Source organism: Homo sapiens, chromosome X (genome assembly GCF_000001405.40).
Source record: "Homo sapiens chromosome X, GRCh38.p14 Primary Assembly".
Classification (NCBI taxonomy): Eukaryota; Metazoa; Chordata; class Mammalia; order Primates; family Hominidae; genus Homo; species Homo sapiens.
The window spans coordinates 70,838,749-70,852,130 of record NC_000023.11 but is presented as its reverse complement, the minus strand read 5'-3'; the positions used below and the strand labels follow the sequence as shown (position 1 = coordinate 70,852,130).

At 40.9% G+C, this 13,382-nt stretch overlaps 1 protein-coding gene and 1 non-coding gene across 5 annotated transcripts in view; both read left to right on the top strand.

Moving 5' to 3' along the window:
- TEX11 (testis expressed 11) overlaps nucleotides 1–13,382 on the top strand; it is a 397,485-nt gene that overhangs the window by 56,581 nt on the left and 327,522 nt on the right. The window lies entirely within an intron of this gene.
- SNORD3E (small nucleolar RNA, C/D box 3E) lies at nucleotides 5,836–6,050 on the top strand. Its single transcript, NR_145758.1, has one exon. It is a non-coding gene; the product is annotated as a small nucleolar RNA, C/D box 3E (small nucleolar RNA).

Here is a 13,382-nt window from a genome sequence, read left to right as displayed (position 1 = left end):
CATATACCATAAAATTCACCCATTTACACTGTGTAATTCAGTAATTTAGTATATTCACAGAATTGTGCAATATTCACCACAAGCTAAGTTTAAAACATGTTTGTCACCCCAAAAAGACATCCCCATCAGCATTAGCAGTCATTCCTCATTGCTTCTGACCCTAGCTCTAGCAACCGTGAATTTATTTTCTGTTTCTATAGATATGCCTATTTTGGACATTTCATATTAATATAATCATGCAATAAGTGGTCTTTTGTGATTAGCTTCTTTCATTTAGCATAATTGTTTTCAGGGTTCATCAGTGTTGTTGCATGTTTCACTGTATGAATATGCCATGTTTTGTTTATCCATTCATCTATTGATGAACATTTGAGTGGTTTCCAATTTTTGTCTATTGTGAATAATTCTAATGTGAACATTCATTTACTCTGTGTGTGTGTGTGTGTGTGTGTGTGTGTGTGTGTATGTTTTTAATTTTCTTTGGTATATAACTAAGGGTGGAATTGTTGGGTAGCATGGTAACTCTAAGTCTGTGTTTAACCTTTTGAGAAACTGCCAGAATGTTTTCCATAGTGGCTGAACTATTTTATTACACTTCCCCCAGTAGTATATGAGGGCTCCACCTTCTCTACATCTAAAGGTTTTATAGTTTTAGCACTTACACTTAGATCTGTGGTCCATTTTACGTAAATTTTCAGGTATAATGTGAAGTAGTGGTCTAACTTCATTCTTTTGCATGTGGCTATTCAATTGTCCCAGTACCATTTGTTGAGAAGACTATTCTTTCCCCATATTGAATGACCTTAGCACCTTTGTCAAAAATCAATTTATCATAAGTGGGAGGGTTTACTTCTGGACTCTTGATTCTATTCCATTTATCTGTATATCTAGCCTTATGCTGGTACCACACTTGTCTTGATTACTGTAGCTATGTAGTAAGTTTCAAAATTGGGAATTGCAAGTCCTCCAGTTTTGTTCTTTTTAAAGAGTGTTTGGACTTTTCTGGGTCCCTTACATTTCCATATGAATGTTAGGATCAGCTTTTCAATTGGTGTACAGAAGCCAGCTGGAATTTTGATAGGGATAGCATTGAATTTATACAACAATTTGGGGGATATTGTTATCATAAGAATATTGTGTTCTGATCCATGAACATGGGATGTCTTTTCATTTATTTAGGTTTTGTTTAATTTTCTCTCATTTATTTATTTTTATCTTTTTTTTGTAGAGACAAGGTTTTGCTATGTTGCCCAGGCTGGTATCAAACTCCTGGCCTCAAGCAGTCCTCTCACCTTGGCCTCTCAAAGTGCTGGGATTACAGGCGTGAGCCACCATGCCTGGCCAGACCTATGTGTGGTATTTTTGTTGTTGTTTTAGAGACAGGATCTTGCTTTGTTGCCCAGGCTGGAGTAATGTGGCCCAATCATAGCTCACTGCAGCCTCAACCTCCTGGGCTCAAGGGATCCTCCTCCCTCAACCTCCCGAGTAGGTAAGACTATGGGTGTATGCCACTGTGCCTGGCTAATTAAATAAACATTTTTTTTTTTTTTTTGTAGAGGGAGGGTTTTACTATGTTGTCTAGGCTGTTCTTGAACTCCTGGGCTCAAGTGATTCTCCCACCTTGCCCTCCCAAAGTGCTGGAATTACAGGCATGAACCACTGCGACTGGCCAGACCTATGTGTTTTAATTGTCCACAAGCTCAAACTTAAATCAGTGATGTGACGTAACTGCAAAAAAAGCTAGCACAGTCCTAGGCTATGTTAATAGATACATAGTGTCCTCATCTAGGTAGTTAATTCACATTTTGAATATTGTGATAACTTCTAGGCATCACATTTTAAAATCACTGGGTTGGTGTACAAAATATATGAAAAATATTTGGAGAATATAGTGATGTTTGTCTCAGAAAAAGAAGACAGTAGGAATGATAGCTCTCTTTGAATATTTTAAGGACTATTGTATTAAAAAGGAATTAAACTCCACAGGATGGAATGAAGAACAATGGGTAGAAATTATAGGAAGACAGATTTTGGCTTAATATAAGGAGTAGCCTTTTATCAGTGATAGTAATCCTATAATGGAATAGCTTTCCTGCAAGATTTTAAATCTGTTTTCACTGGAAATTTGTAAGCAAAGGTGTGAATATCCTAAGAATTATACATTGCAGAAGGAATTCCTTCATTTGGTAGGAAATTTGACTACTATGACCCTTAAGTCCCTTTTAACACCAAGATCCTATGATTTCAGAAAGTCTTGTAGCATTTGTTCAGTGTGGTGGATGTTGATATCTAAATGGCATCTTTATATAGCTGGTTAAAAGTGTTAGTTGTTATAATCAGTAATGAGAACTATATAATTCTTGACTTTGATAAGTGATGACATCTTCAGAAGTTGTGGTGAAGGCTAATTCCTTTTGCTCTAAGTTAATTTTTCATTTCTAAGACATTCGCACCATTAGAGTTTATGAGTTTTGTTGATATTTGCTTGGGAGAAGACATCTTTAAAATGGCGGTTAATAGCGGTGTTTGATAATGAGTTTTCTCTGTCCTAATAAAGCTCCTGAGAGGCCTTATCTTTCTCTAGGCACCTACCATTTAACCAGTTAGATAATTGCTTTATTATTTATTAAGTTATTCAACAGACAAGGAATATCTTCTATGAACAGACTACTATGCTAGGTTTTGTGGAATAATGCAAATAATCACATATCCTATCCTCAAGGATTATAGTTTAATTGGTGAGATAAAGGATGCATATGCAAGATAGAAAAAATTGGGTACTATAATAGTTGTACAGATAAGTGATCTACATGCAGTGTTCAGTGCTATGTGTGAGTGGAGATGTAATATATGGTCATTTTCCTTAAGAAAATTATAAGCTAGTTTGAGAGATAGGTCATGAATACATTTTCTAAAACTGGAAAAAGAAAAATATTAAGTGCCAAATGAATGACTTAGGTTAGGTGGGACACAGACTTTGTCTAAAGTGGTCACATGACCTTCCTAACAATTGTTAACATTTTATTTTTCCTCAATCCCTATATCCACTTGCAAGGTGAAGGATACTTTTCTGTGTATGCAAGTGCCAGATTACCCTTCTGTAATCTTTTAGAATTGTAAAAATAACTATAGATCTTGGTGTTTCTCCTAATTCCCCATTTCCCTTGGTTACTGGCAATGCCTCTTTCTGCAGTGTGCATCATCTGCAGATGCAAGGGTCGTATGTTTTGCTTCTGCTCCCTCCCCTATTTAAAGTAGGACCACTTGTAGAAGCTGACAGGGTCACACTGAGGAAGGGGCTATGAGCTTACCTATAAAGACTATGATGGAGGCTATCCTGGAGATACAAGCCAAGTGAAAGCCAGCTTTCTCTATTATATCAAGGACTTTGGTTCACCATCTTTCCTAGTAGTTAAAAAAGTAGTAATGTAAAAAAATTAATCTGCATTGTCAGCTTCTAGCATAGTACGTAGCATATAATATATATTATGTAAATGTGTGTGGTACAAATGAATCTGCTCTCCCCCTATTATTCCTTTCTGATCTTTTTGCACCCCCCATCCTATCAAAAGAGTGATCAGTAGTATGTAAAATGTGAAAGACTGAAAAACACCAGTACAGGCAAGTGCTACAAGAGTGTAGAAAAGTGGGGAGATTATTGTGGACTGGGTTGTAGAAGACACACAGGATTTAGAGCATGATTTGAACTTTGAAGGAAGAAACAGACTTAGGAAAGTGGGGAAGAGGGCACAGAATATTCCAGGCAGAGCAAAGTCATATAGGCAGAAATGTGCATGCCACGTTTAAGGAACAGTGTGATCAGTTTATCTGAAGGAAAGTATTTTGCAAGGGCACAATGAGTGCTAAGTCTGGAGAAATAAGTAGGGCCAGGTTGAGAAAGCCCAAATATACCTCTTTGAAAAAATACTTTTGATATTTTCCTAAAGGTACTGGGGTGATTGAAAGTGTTTAGGAAGAGGTTTGGTGGCACCTAGTGAAGAGTAACCTGTAATCGTGTTTAGAATTGATTGAAAAGTGAACAGAATCAAGGCATAGTGTAAGCATGAACTGGTGAAAGCCTGTACTATAGTAGTACCAATGAGAATGGGAAAGAAGGGACAGATACAGGAGACATATAAAGGAAGCAATCATTTATGCTCAGTGAGAAGGACTTGAACCATTGAATCTTTGGAGGCAGGAAAGGGAGGATAATAAAGCCTGTTCATTCCACAAACATTTACATGTTGTTGGGAGGTGGGAGAGTGCAGTCGAAAGTAGAGCAAACACTGCTAGGCATGGTGGCTCACACCTGTAATCCCAGCACTTTGGGAGGCCAAGGTGGGAGGATCATTTGAGGTCAGGAGTTCAAGACCAGCATGGGCAACATAGCTAGACCCTATCTCTGTGAGAAAAGAAAAAAAATTAGCCAGGCATGGTGGCACATGCCTGTGGTCTCAGCTTCATGGGAGGCTGAAACAGGAGGATCACAGATTGAGGCTGCAGTGAGCCATGATTACACCACGGCACTCCAGCCTGGGTGATAGAGTGAATCCCTGTCTTTAAAAAATTAAATTTAATTACATTAAAATTTCAAAAAGCAGAGCAAACGAAAAAGAAGGAATACCAGAGATGAAAGAGGACTAGAACAGTGTGGGTCATTCACGAGAAGAGAGTTTGGAGAAAAGGATGATCAACAGTGGCCAGTGCTTCAGAGAAATAAAAGAAAATGAGGTCGGAATAAACGCCATTGGACCTGACGTTTAGGAAGATGATAGTGACCATAGAAAGCAGTTTCAGTAGTAAGGTGTCTTAGTTCGTTTTGTATTGCTATAATGGCATACTTGAGGCTGGGTAATTTATAAAGAAAAGATTTATTCTTGCTCACGGTTCTGCACACTGTACAAGAAGCATATGCCAGCATCTGCTTCTGGCCAGGGACTTCAGTAAGCTTCCAATCATGCCAAAAGTCGAAGGGGAGCAGGCATGTCACATGACAAGAGAGGGAAAAAGAGATACAGGGGAGGGTGATACCAGACTCTTTCGAACAATGCCATCTTAGAGGAACTACTAGAGCAAGAACTCACTGTTACTGTGGGGAGAGAGCCAAGTCATTCATGAGAGATCTGACTCCATGTCCTAAACACCTCCCACTGGGCCTTACCTCCAAAATTGGGGCATCACATCTCTTTCTTTCTTCCTTTTTTTTTGAGACAGAGTCTTGCTCTGTTGCCTAGGTTGTAGTGCAGTGGCGTGATCTCAGCTCACTGAAATCTCTGCCTCCTGGGTTCAAGCTATTCTCATGCCTCAGCCTCCAGAGTAGCTGGGATTACAGTCACATGCCACCACGCCCGGCTAATTTTTGTATTTTTAGTAGAGACAGGGTTTCGCCATGTTGGCCAGGCTGGCCTTGAACTCCTCGCCTCAAGCAATCCACCCACCTTGGCCTCCCAAACTGCTGGGATTACAGGCGTGAGCGACCATGCCTGACCTGGGGCATCACATTTCAACATGAGATTTGGAAGGGACAAATATTCCAACTATATCATAAGATAATAGTAGAAAATAGACTGTAAGGGTTTAAGGACTGAATGGGTGGCGAGGCAATGGAAGAAGTTATGGTGGGAGGTTCTGGGAGGTCAAAACTATTTTATAATAATTCTAAAACATTATTTGCCTATTTTTTGCTGTTTTAGCATTTGCTCTGGTGATGCAAAGCAATGATGGGTAAGATTGCTGGCACTTCAACATGAATCAGGATAGTGGCACTAGCATACAGACTAGTCATCTTTTTATTCATCACTGCTATACTCTTACTTTAAGAAGAATGCCAGTCTTAAGACTATACTTTCAGGGATCATTTCTATAGTTTGTTACTAGAGAAGTTTCTCTGAACGTGTATAGCACTGAAAACCACAAAGAAGAGGTGCAGCATTATCTCCTAAGTGTAAAGCCGGCTCTTGATGTTGCTTTGCTGCAACTGCCATTTGCCATTGATGATCGTTCTTTTCTTCCTTTGGGAGACTGGGAAGGAAAGGATGCAATCTGAGTGGTTTTCATTTAAAAAATAAATAAATAAAAAGGATGCCAGTTTTACACAAAACCATCCTTGATAAGCGAGTAAAGATGATTAATTTTATTAAATCTTGGGCCCTTGAACACATATCATTTTAATATGTGTGATGAAAAGGGAAACACTCATATAGCACTTTTGTTGCATATCGAAGTGTGATGGTTATCTGGAGGAGAGGCTCTTAAGTGATTGTTTAATTTGTGAGCCGAATTAACTATTTTGTGTGTGCGTGTGTGATGGAGTCTTGCTCTGTCACCCAGGCTGGAATGCAATGGCACAATCTTGGCTCACTGCAAACTCCACCTCCTGGGTTCAAGCGATTCTCCTGCCTCAGCCTCCCGAGTAGCTGGGACTACAGGTGCGCATCACCATGCCTGGCTAATTTTTGTATTTTTAGTAGAGATGGAATTTTGCCATGTTGGCCAGGCGGGTCTCGAACTCCTGACCTCAGGTGATCTGCCCACTTCAGCCTCCCAAAGTGCTGGGATTACGGGCGTGACCCAGTGTGCCCTGCCTGGATTAACTATTTTTAATTTCAAGAATGACTGACACATAAACTTGGCTATTTAGCAGATGTTTTCATAAAAATGAATGAAGTGGGCCAGGCGCAGTGGCCCCTGCCTGTAATCCCATCACTTTGGGAGGCCGAGGCGGGCGGATCGCCTGAGGTCAGGAGTTCAAGACCAGCCTGGCCAAAATGGTAAAACCCCGTCTCTACTAAAAATATAAACGTGGGCTGGGCATGGTGTCAGGTGCCTGTAATTTCAGCTCCTTGGGAGACTGAGGCAGGAGAATCGCTTGAATTCGGGAGACAGAGGTTGCAGTGAGCAGAGATGATGCCACTGCACTTCAGCCTGGGTGACAGTGAGATTCCCTCTCAAAAGTAAAAGATAAAATAAAATGAACCAAGTGAATAGGACTCTATTGTGTATATGTACCATTTTGCATTCTTCATCCATTCATCTGTTGATGGACACTTAGGTTAGCATGTGACTTCTGGGAAAACAATTGACAGTATTTTTTGCCAGTGAAAAAGTTTGAGCTTTTAGGTAAAAACTGAAATTTTAGAAAATGTGTACTTCTACCATGAGCTTGGTAGCTTCTAAATACTTAGTCTTTTTTTTTTTTGAGGCAGTCTCATTCTGCCACACAGGTTGGAGTGCAGTGGCACAGTCTCAGCTCACTGCAGCCTCTGCCTCCCGGGTTCAAGCGGTTCTCATGCCTCAGCCTGGGAGGTAGCTGGGATTACAGGCGCACACCACCACTGCTGGCTTTTTTGTTTTGTTTTGTTTTGGTATTTCTAGTAGAGATGGGGGTTTCCCCATGTTGGCCAGGCCGGTCTCGAGCTCCTGGCCTCAAGTTATCCACCTGCCTTGGCCTCCCAAAGTGCTGGGACTACAGGTATGAGCCACTGCCTAAATACAAAGTCTTTTTTTTTATTTTATTATTATTGTACTTTAAGTTTTAGGGTACATGTGCACAACGTGCAGGTTTGTTACATATGTGTACATGTGCCATGTTGGTGTGCTGCACCCATTAACTCGTCATTTAGCATTAGGTATATCCCCTAATGCTATCCCTCCCCCCTCCCCCCACCCCACAACAGTCTCCGGTGTGTGATGTTCCCCTTCCTGTGTCCATGGGTTCTCATTGTTCAATTCCCAACTATGAGTGAGAACATGCGGTGTTTGGTTTTTTGTCCTTGCGATAGTTTGCTGAGAATGATGGCTTCCAGTTTCATCCATGTCCCTACAAAGGACATGAACTCATCCTTTTTTATGGCTGCATAGTATTCCATGGTGTATATGTGCCACATTTTCTTAATCCAGTCTATCGTTATTGGACATTTAGGTTGCTTCCAAGTCTTTGCTATTGTGAATAGTGCCGCTATAAACATACGTGTGCATGTGTCTTTATAGCAGCATGATTTATAATCCTTTGGGTATATACCCAGTAATGGGATGGCTGGGTCAAATGGTATTTCTAGTTCTAGATCCCTGAGGAATCGCCACACTGACTTCCACAATGGTTGAACTAGTTTACAGTCCCACCAACAGTGTAAAAGCATTCCTATTTCTCCACATCCTCTCCAGCACCTGTTGTTTCCTGACTTTTTAATGATGCCATTCTAACTGGTGTGAGATGGTATCTCATTGTGGTTTTGATTTGCATTTCTCTGATGGCCAGTGATGATGAGCATTTTTTCATGTGTTTTTTGGCTGCATAAATGTCTTCTTTTGAGAAGTGTCTCCTCTTCATATCCTTCGCCCACTTGTTGATGGTATTGTTAGTTTTTTTCTTGTAAATTTGTTTGAGTTCATTGTAGATTCTGGATATTAGCCCTTTGTCAGATGAGTAGATTGCAAAAATTTTCTCCCATTTTGTAGGTTGCCTGTTCACTCTGATGGTAGTTCCTTTTGCTGTGCAGAAGCTCTTTAGTTTAATTGGATCCCATTTGTCAATTTTGGCTTTTGTTGCCATTGCTTTTGGTGTTTTAGACATGAAGTCCTTGCCCATGCCTATGTCCTGAATGGTATTGCCTAGGTTTTCTTCTAGGGGTTTTATGGTTTTAGGTCTAATGTTTAAGTCTTTAATCCATCTTGAATTAATTTTTGTATAAGGTGTAAGGAAGGGATCCAGCTTCAGCTTTCTACATATGGCTAGCCAGTTTTCCCAGCACCATTTATTAAATAGGGAATCCTTTCCCCATTGCTTGTTTTTGTCAGGTTTGTCAAAGATCAGATAGTTGTAGATATGCGGCATTATTTCTGAGGGCTCTGTTCTGTTTTGGTACCAGTACCATGCTGTTTTGGTTACTGTAGCCTTGTAGTATAGTTTGAAGTCAGGTAGCATGATGCCTCCAGCTTTGTTCTTCTGGCTTAGGATTGTCTTGGCAATGTGGGCTCTTTTTGGTTCCGTATGAACTTTAAAGTAGTTTTTTCCAATTCTGTGAAGAAAGTTGTTGGTAGCTTGATGGGGATGGCATTGAAACTATAAATTACCTTGGGCAGTATGGCCATTTTCACGATATTGATTCTTTCTACCCATGAGCATGGAATGTTCTTCCATTTGTTTGTATCCTCTTTTATTTCACTGAGCAGTGGTTTGTAGTTCTCCTTGAAGAGGTCCTTCACATCCCTTGTAAGTTGGATTCCTAGGTATTTTATTCTCTTTGAAGCAATTGTGAATGGGAGTTCACTCATGATTTGGCTCTGTTGTCTGTTATTGGTGTATAAGAATGCTTGTGATTTTTGTACATTGATTTTGTGTCCGGAGACTTTGCTGAAGTTGTTTATCAGCTTGAGGAGATTTTGGGCTGAGATGATGGGGTTTTCTAGATGTACAATCATGTCATCTACAAACAGGGACAATTTGACTTCCTCTTTTCCTAATTGAATACCCTTTATTTCCTTCTCCTGCCTAATTGCCTTGGCCAGCACTTCCAACACTATGTTGAATAGGAGTGGTGAGAGAGGGCATCCCTGTCTTGTGTCAGTTTTCAAAGGGAATGCTTCCAGTGTTTGCCCATTCAGTATGATATTGGCTGTGGGTTTGTCATAGATAGCTCTTATTATTTGGAGATATGTCCCATGAATACCTAATTTATTGAGAGTTTTTAGCATGAAGTGTTGTTGAATTTTGTCAAAGGCCTTTTCTGCATCTATTGAGATAATCATGTGGTTTTTGTCTTTGGTTCTGTTTATATGCTGGATTACATTTATTGATTTGCGTATGTTGAATCAGCCTTGCATCCCAGGGATGAAGCCCACTTAATCATGGTGGATAAGCTTTTTGATGTGCTGCTGAATTCGGTTTGTGAGTATTTTACTGAGGATTTTTGCATCAATGTTCATCAAGGATATTGGTCTAAAATTCTCTTTTTTTGTTGTGTCTCTGCCAGGCTTTGGTATCAGGATGATGCTGGCCTCATAAAATGAGTTAGGGAGGATTCCCTCTTTTTCTATTGATTGGAATAGTTTCAGAAGGAATGGTACCAGCTCCTCCTTGTACCTCTGGTAGAATTCGGCTGTGAATCCATCTGGTCCTGGACTTTTTTTGGTTGGTAAGCTGTTGATTATTGCCACAATTTCAGAGCCTGTTATTGGTCTATTCAGAGATTCAACTTCTTCCTGGTTTAGTCTTGGGAGGGTGTATGTGTCGAGGAGTTTATCCATTTCTTCTAGATTTTCTAGTTTATTTGCGTAGAGGTGTTTGTAGTATTCTCTGATGGTAGTTTGTATTTCTGTGGGATCGGTGGTGATATCCCCTTTATCATTTTTTATTGCGTCTAATTGATTCTTCTCTCTTTTCTTCTTTATTAGTCTTGCTAGCGGTCTATCAATTTCGTTGATCTTTTCAAAAAACCAGCTCCTGGATTCATTAATTTTTTGAAGGGTTTTTTGTGTCTCTATTTCCTTCAGTTCTGCTCTGATTTTAGTTATTTCTTGCCTTCTGCTAGCTTTTGAATGTGTTTGCTCTTGCTTTTCTAGTTCTTTTAATTGTGATGTTAGGGTGTCAATTTTGGATCTTTTCTGCTTCCTCTTGTGGGCATTTAGTGCTATAAGTTTCCCTCTACACACTGCTTTGAATGTGTCCCAGAGATTCTGGTATGTTGTGTCTTTGTTCTCGTTGGTTTCAAAGAACATCTTTATTTCTGCCTTCATTTCATTATGTACCGAGTAGTCATTCAGGAGCAGGTTGTTCAGTTTCCATGTAGTTGAGCGGTTTTGAGTCAGTTTCTTAATCCTGAGTTCTAGTTTGATTGCACTGTGGTCTGAGAGACAGTTTGTTATAATTTCTGTTCTTTTACATTTGCTGAGGAGTGCTTTACTTCCAACTATGTGGTCAATTTTGGAATAGGTGTGGTGTGGTGCTGAAAAGAATGTATATTCTGTTGATTTGGGGTGGAGAGTTCTGTAGATGTCTATTAGGTCCGCTTGGTGCAAAGCTGAGTTCAATTCCTGGGTATCCTTGTTAACTTTCTGTCTTATTGATCTGTCTAATGTTGACAGTGGGGTGTTAAAGTCTCCCATTATTATTGTGTGGGAGTCTAAGTCTCTTTGTAGGTCACTCAGGACTTGCTTTATGAATCTGGGTGCTCCTGTATTGGGTGCATATATATTTAGGATAGTTAGTTCTTCTTGTTGAATTGATCCCTTTACCATTATGTAATGGCCTTCTTTGTCTCTTTTGATCTTTGTTGGTTTAAAGTCTGTTTTAGCAGAGACTAGGATTGCAACCCCTGCCTTTGTTTGTTTTCCATTTGCTTGGTAGATCTTCCTCCATCCCTTTATTTTGAGCCTATGTGTGTCTCTGCACATGAGATGGCTTTCCTGAATACAGCACACTGATGGGTCTTGACTCTTTATCCAATTTGCCAGTCTGTGTCTTTTAATTGGAGCATTTAGCCCATTTACATTTAAGGTTAATATTGTTATGTGTGAATTTGATCCTGTCATTATGATGTTAGCTGGTCATTTTGCTCGATAGTTGATGCAGTTTTTTCCTAGCCTTGATGGCGTTTACAATTTGGTATGTTTTTGCAGTGGCTGGTACCAGTTGTTCCTTTCCATGTTTAGCGCTTCCTTCAGGAGCTCTTTTAGGGCAGGCCTGGTGGTGACAAAATCTCTCAGCATTTGCTTGTCTGTAAAGTATTTTATTTCTCCTTCACTTATGAAGGTTAGTTTGGCTGGATATGAGATTGTGGGTTGAAAATTCTTCCCTTTAAGAATGTTGAATATTGGTCCCCACTCTCTTCTGGCTTGTAGAGTTTCTGCAGAGAGATCAGCTGTTAGTCTGATGGGCTTCCCTTTGTGGGTAACCCGACCTTTCTCTCTGGCTGCCCTTAACGTTTTTTCCTTCATTTCAACTTTGGTGAATCTGACAATTATGTGTCTTGGACTTGCTCTTCTCGAGGAGTATCTTTGTGGTGTTCTCTGTATTTCCTGAATTTGAATGTTGGCCTGCCTTGGTAGATTGGGGAATTTCTCCTGGATAATATCCTGCAGAGTGTTTTCCAACTTGGTTCCATTCTCCCCATCACTTTCAGCTACACCAATCAGACGTAGATTTGGTCTTTTCAATAGTCCCATATTTCTTGGAGGCTTTGTTCATTTCTTTTTATTCTTTTTTCTCTAAACTTCTCTTCTCGCTTCATTTCATCTTCCATCACTGATACCCTTTCTTCCAGTTGATCGCATCGGCTACTGAGGCTTCTGCGTTCATCACGTAGCTCTCGTGCCTTGGTTTTCAGCTCCATCAGGTCCTTGAAGGACTTCTCTGCATTGGTTATTCTAGTATCCGTTCGCCTAATTTTTTTTCAAAGCTTTTAACTTCTTTGCTATTGGTTCGAATTTCCTCCTGTAGCTCAGAGTAGTTTGATTGCCTGAAGCCTTCTTCTCTCAGCTCGTCAAAGTCATTCTTCGTCCAGCTTTGTTCCATTGCTGGTGAGGAGCTGCATTCCTTTGGAGGAGGAGAGGCGCTCTGACTTTTAGAGTTTCCAGTTTTTCTGCTCTGTTTTTTTCCCATCTTTGTGGTTTTATCTACCTTTGTTCTTTGATGATGGTGACCTACAGATGAGTTTTTGATGTGGATGTCCTTTCTGTTTGTTAGTTTTCCTTCTAACAGACAGGGCCCTCAGCTGCAGGTCTGTTGGAGTTTGCTAGAGGTCCACTCCAGACCCTGTTTGCCTGGGTATCAGCAGTGGTGGCTGCAGAACAGCAGATATTGGTGAACTGCAGATGCTGCTGCCTGATCGCTCCTCTGGAAGTTTTGTCTCAGAGGGGTACCCGGCCGTGTGAGGTGTCAGTCCGCCCCTCCTGGGGGTGCCTCCCAGTTAGGCTACTTGGGGGTCAGGGACCCACTTGAGGAGGCAGTCTGCCCGTTCCCAGATCTCAAGCTGCGTGCTGGGAGAACCACTACTCTCTTCAAAGCTGTCAGAGAGGGACATTTAAGTCTGCATAGGTTACTGCTGTCTTTTTGTTTGTCTGTGCCCTGCTCCCAGAGGTGGAGCCTACAGAGGCAGGCAGGCCTCCTTGAGCTGTGGTGGGCTCCACCCAGTTCGAGCTTCCCGGCTGCTTTGTTTACCTAATCAAACAACTAACTCAGCAATGGTGGGTGCCCCTCCCCGAGCCTCGCTGCCACCTTGCAGTTTGATCTCGGACTGCTGTGCTAGCAATGAGCGAGACTCCATGGGTGTAGGACCCTCTGAGCCATGTGCGGGATATAATCTCCTGGTGTGCCATTTTTTAAGCCCGTTGGAAAAGCGCAGTATTAGGGTGGGAGTGACCCGATTTTCCAGGTGCCATCTGTC